This window comes from Homo sapiens, chromosome 6 (assembly GCF_000001405.40).
Source record: "Homo sapiens chromosome 6, GRCh38.p14 Primary Assembly".
Lineage (NCBI taxonomy): Eukaryota > Metazoa > Chordata > Mammalia > Primates > Hominidae > Homo > Homo sapiens.
Window position 1 is genome coordinate 92,364,809 of NC_000006.12, and position 6,177 is coordinate 92,370,985.

Genomic DNA, 6,177 nt, shown 5'->3' on the forward strand with positions numbered 1-6,177 from the left:
ATTGTTTGACTTAAACTGTCTGTAAAGTCTCTGACAATGCATGAAAATCAGAGACTAAGACACCATTATTATCCTTTCAGAGCTTTCCAAATAATGTTGAAGAGAATTAGATTGGAAAAATAAGTCAGTCTGAAGAAGTCTGCTCATCTCAGGTACTGTACCTCAATATGACTCATTCAGGAGAGAATTTAGTAAGTCCCCAGTACCAAAGACAATGTCACCTTGTTACAAATGACCATAATTGAAGCTTGGGGAAAGCTTCATAAAGAAACATGTCCTTGCCTGGCCTGATTCTGCAACTGAAGGGAAACAAGAGTACAAGGTCCTTTGTGTATTCAAGTAGAGTAAACACCATCAGGCCATTATAAAAGGGGTCATAGATTCCTGCATTTCTCTGGAGTTTTGACCATTTGAAATGAGAAACCTGTCAGATGATGCTGAGTATTCTGAATTTCAAACTCTATTAGATTTCCAGGGGAGTGCAGTAATAAGTAGTTTTAAGTTCAGCAGTGCAAGGCAGCGCCACGTGGCTTGGATTCTGTTAACATAAGAGTGATCTGGTTAGATGGAATGCTCCCTGGGAAGAAATTTTAGTTTTCCCTTTTGGAGTTGAAAATAAAAATAATGCTATTTTCTCTCTCACTGAGTTGCTCTTTTGTAGGCTTTTCTGGTGAAGTTACAATAAACCCATATGGATGAAATAAACAAGTTTCCCATTCAGATCCCCTGTGTATAATCCACATCAACCTAATGTTTCCAATTGACTTAAAATAAAATTCAGATGCTTGAAGTCTATAACCATGGGAAGAAGGGAAATAGGAAAAACTTACAGAATGCGCAGAAGACATAAGAAAGCATATAAAATTGCATACTGCATTTTCACACTTTGTGACAATTTGAGGTCAAATAATATCTTAATTCTGTGTGTTGAAAACTGGTGGTTGAAGCAAAATGACTTAGACTACATATCTATTCCTTGCGGAAAATAAACAAAGTTTGATTAAACATCTAGCCTTGGTTTTCCTTGAAACAGTAGAAATCTAAAAATACTATCATAAGACACAGAGTTTGAGAACAGGAAGGGATTTGGAGATGATCTATTCCAACTCCAGCATATTACATTAAAGAAATCAAGGCAGAGTCCTAAGTGACTCTGGTTTGCCCAAGTTCTTTTTAAATATATTTTATCTTTTGTGGGGAAGAAGATTTTCCTCAGTCCTCTTAGGGTCCCTGGCTGGGTCTGAAAAGAAAACTGACAAAGACAAATTAACAGAAGAAAATATACAAATTTATGTAAGTTTTACATGACATGGGAGCCTTCATAAGGAAATGAAGATCCAAAGAAACAGGAAAACGTGTGTATTTTTTATGCTAGATTTGATGAAGTGGATAGTCATGGAGAAATATAATTCGGTAAAAATGTATAGTCTGATGGTGATAAACTGTGGGAGACATAGTACAGCCTGTTTGTTTAGAATCTTCTCTGTGACCCTTTGTCCTTAGAGATGTTCTTTTCTTCCCAGTAAAAGGACACCTCAACATGAAGTCTTATGACCTGCTTCAGAGGAAGGTCACTGTTTTAGTCTGTTTTTATGCTGCTGATAAAGACATACCCGAAACTGAGCAATTTAAAAGAAAAAGAGGTTTAATGGACTTACAGCTCCATGTGGCTGGTGAGGTCTCACAACCATGGTGAAAGGCAAAAGGCACATCTTACATAGCAGCTGACAAGAGAGAATGAGAGAGTCGGGTGAAAGGGGTTTCCCCTTATAAAACCATCAGATCTTGTGAGACTTATTCACTACCACTAGAACAGTATGGGGGAAATCACCCCCATGATTCATTCATCTCCCACTGGGTCCCTCCCACAACACAAGGGAATCATGGGAGTTACAATTCAAGATGAGATTTGGGTGGGGACACAGCTAAACCATATCGGGCACAAAATCCTTCCAAGGTTTGACGGCCTTCTTCAGAGAAGAAGGGTTGAGGAAATCCAGAGTGACTTTCCTCCTTTTACTGTTTATTCAAATGCCAAGGTGCCATATTTTATGATAATGTTTCCTGAACCCCATCACCTTCAAACAAACATGATGGTATTTAAATCTTAATAAAAATGTAGGTTTTTGCATGTTAGTTCAAAATGATTTATTTTACAATTTTAGTTTAACTTTGAGATGTGGTACATGAAATTTGATTATTTTGCATTAATTTAGTAAATGCAATCTTTTGTAGCACTTGAGTAGAATTAATAGATATTGATGACCCTATTAATTTAGTTTTTTTTTAACCAGCTTATATAGTAGGAAGATAGGCCTGAATTTTTATTTTGGTTATGAGTATATGACTTCTAGAAATTTAAAAAAAAATTGTGACATAAGTTACATTATTAGCTTTATCTGTTATTTTGTTGAATCTTCACTTCAAAATTCAACATATTTATAGGAAAAACTGGTTATCTGTTTAAAATAAACATGTACATTGTAAACATATACTCTAGATTAATTTGGAATATTCTAATTAAACTAGTGCTTTTGGATTTATCAACTATGTGTCAAAAAAGGTCTCATTCGAGTTTTCTAGATTTTTCTTCTTAAGTAATGTTTTTATTCCAAATAACAAAGAAATAGAATCGTTCCAAAGCAAGAAATATAAAACCATTATTGCTATTCTTAGCAGTTGAAAGAATAGAGTGACAAAAATGATTTAGCAATTTCATTTCCAACTGATAAATGGATAAACAAAATGTGATCTGTCAATACAATAGAATATTATTTTGCCATAAAAAGGAATAATGTAATTTCCATATTATTATGATGATGGACCTTAAAAACAATATGCTATGTGAAAGAAGCTAGTTACAAAAGACCCCACAAATGGTATGATTCTATGTGAAGTGTTTATAATAAAAAGAAGGTAGTGGTTGCCCTGGATGAGGAGTAATCTTTAATAGGTATGAAGTTTCTCTCCGGGGTGATAAAAATGTTTTAGAATTAGGTAGCAGTAATAGTTGTGCAACTCTGTAAATATACTAAAAAACATTGAATCATACAGTTTAAAAGGTAGAATTACATGGCATAAGAAGTTTATCTCAATAAAGCTGTTTAAGAATCACAGCTTGATTAATGACCTTCACCAGAGGCAAGAGTCTGCAACTGAATTTTTCTCACTGGTGAATGACAACAAATAGGAATAATTGTGTACCTCAAAAACATTACAGTATTTGTCTATATGATTACAATATCTATTTTTCTGACTACAAGTGAACTCCAAAATAAATTATATATATATTCATGGTTAATATAATTTCCCATGTTGCTGAAATTTGTATATTGTTTTCCTTTACCAATGTAAGATCTGCTGGTGAGGGGAAATGACTGTCTGGTTTAATTATTGTTTATACGTTTAGAAATGGGATATTTAATTCTGTAAAAAATGGAGCTTGTCAATTTTAAAAGATAACAATTTGATTTAATTAAAAGTTTTGAGGTTTAATTGATAATAAGTAATGTGATGAAAGCCAAGCTTAGTAAAGTCTATCTGCATAAATTTCGTGTTATCCATTGAAAAATAAAAATTAAGCTGAATTATCTAAATTTTCAGTATTCTTGATAAACATTATTTGAAACATTTGATTTTTTTTTCTTCAAAAACCTTTTAGGGAAAAACAATTCCGGAACTGCATGTTGAGATCCTAAATTTGCTAGGTACAGTAACATTTTTCAGTTTCAATGAATTTGATTTGCTGAACTTGATATGCTAAATGTGAATATTAATGCTCAAGTTATAATAGTGGTTTTTATTAATTTAAATCTTGTACAACTGGTTTAATAATTTTTCAAATAGCCCCTTGCCTACTTTTTCATGAAAGCAGCTAACTAGATCGGCTCTTAAATGTAAAGTAGGCCAGTTTCATTGCATTTGGTTGAAGCATATCCCACAAAGAAACACAATGCAGTAAAGCAAACTCCTTAACACCTATCAGGAAAAATATAACATTGTCTACATGTTACGTAAAAGACTCAGTTTTGGCAAAAAATTTAATTCCTCTCTTCCATAATGGATGAATGCAATCACATAGGAAAACTGACAAGTAAAAATTATCCTCTGTCTTTTCTCTTGTCTGTATCATAGCAGAAATATTAAAACGGTAATAAAGTACATTTTACACAGTAAGACTATTTTCATAGTACATTTACATTATAAGAGTATAAGAAAGAAGGGATAGGATTTATCATTTGTAGTAGACTAAGTAATGACCTTCAAAGATATCAGATCCCAATGCCTGGAACCTGTACATATTATCTACTGGGAAAAAGGGTCTTTGCAGAAAAAGATCTTGAGATGGAGAGATTATCCTGGATCATCTAGCTGATCATCTAGGGCCCTAAATGCAATCACAAATGTCTTTATAAGAATGAGACAGAAGGACACAGACTTAAGAGGCATTAAGCAATTTGATCACAGAGGCAGAGATTGGAGTGATGTAGCCACAAACCAACGAATGCCAGCAACCACCAGAAGCTGGAAGAAGCAAAGAACCCTTGAGTCTCCAAAGATAATACAGCCTGGTTGGATTTCTGGCCTCCAGAACAGCAAGGGAATACATTTCTGTTTTCTTAAATCACCAAGTTTGTTTTAATTTGTTACAACAGCCACAGGAAACTCATATATCACTCATGACAAATTATTCCTTAACTAAAGTGTTTTAGACACCTTTTTGCCTGGAGGCAGTAATTTAAGCAGATAATTGCAGGAAACCCCTTAAGGGTTTTCGGATTAAAAGAGATGTCAAAGCAATAGTGCTAAATCCTTACCCACTTTTTCAATTTGTCTCTGTTCTAGACCCTTGACTTGAATACCCCCAGAAACAGAGAGCTCAAACCCCTCAGTCAATACATACCACCTATGAACTGATCTGTTTTCTAGAAACCACTTATGTGTGCATGTATGTGTGTTTGTGTGTATGTTAACAAATCTGAACTGAAACACCTCTCTGTGTTTTTTTCCTTTCATCGGTTAGTCCTTAAGAGGCACATTTAACATGTTTAATCCATTTCCCAATTTATTGGCCCTTAATTATTTGAAAGCAGTTCCCCACATCTTCCATTTTTGAGACTAAATGTTATAAATTAATTGTTAATTTATCATTTGATGTCAGCCTTTGACTCAGTCATTCTTAAGTGGTTTATCACGACCTGCAACATCAGTATCACCTGGAAACATAGCGGAAACGCAAATGCTTAGCCCCATCTCAGGTCTACTGAATCAGAAACCAGAGGATAGGGCCTAGCAATCTGTTTTTAACAAGCCTTTGAAGTGATTCTGATATTTGTTGAAATTTAAGAGCCATTTGTTTTACTTATCATATACTACTAGCATTATTATTTTTGAGGGTCCTGAAATAAACAGAGCTACAGTGTTAGGTAAACGTAGATAATATTCAAGCTTTATGCCACACTTTTAGGTTAATTTTAAAATAAATGTAAAGGCCTTAAAATGACATTCCCCAAATACTCAATGTTACTTGTTTCCATTGAACTTCAATTAATTTTCACTGTGTAACCTCAGAGCACGTTTGAATGTGCGCAGTACTCTCTCCAGGAAAACATCAGTGTCTGTTCATAAAGGTAATGATCAAATCAATTAACAACACAGAAATGGGTACTTTTGAATTTGTAGGGCGGTAGCAGGTGTACCAATAATAACACATCAGTATTAACTTAGACACTTATTGGTTAATCAACTGATAGCTGTGAAATTTATAGTGCTGACCTGATTATACTCAAGTCAAAAGAGGAATGTGTTACATAAAGGAAAATCAACCCATCCAGCTCATTCAATGACAGCATAGTTTCATTCTGTATGTGTGTAAAACTCAATAATATTCCATTGTTGAGTTCCATCAACAAATACTCATTCAATTTCAACTTTGTTCCAGGCATGTAAGTGCCAGAAATCATGCAGGCAATAAAACAGACAAATATACCTGCTGTATTATAGTGGCGAAAATATAAGTATTTATACTATTGAGCACATACAATGTGTCAGGCATCGTTCTAAGCACATATCAAACTGGGGGGGTAAGTACTATTATTGTTTCTTTAAACATATCAAGAAACAGGGGCAGAGAGATTTACTAGTTTTCCCAGCTAGTAACTGGTGAAGCTCTGAATA

The 6,177-nt window shown here is 34.1% G+C and overlaps 2 annotated features.

The window, feature by feature from the left end:
• Positions 274–418: an enhancer, noted in NCBI's record as "145 bp enhancer 210/211 fragment used in the MPRA reporter construct; PK_construct_975". NCBI's record gives its function as "activates an SV40 promoter by MPRA in HepG2 cells {active_cell/tissue: HepG2}" and the evidence as "EXISTENCE:reporter gene assay evidence [ECO:0000049][PMID:23512712]".
• Positions 340–351: a transcriptional cis regulatory region, noted in NCBI's record as "FOXA motif; enhancer activity is reduced when this motif is scrambled". NCBI's record gives its function as "necessary for full MPRA enhancer 210/211 activity {active_cell/tissue: HepG2}" and the evidence as "EXISTENCE:site-directed mutagenesis evidence [ECO:0005528][PMID:23512712]".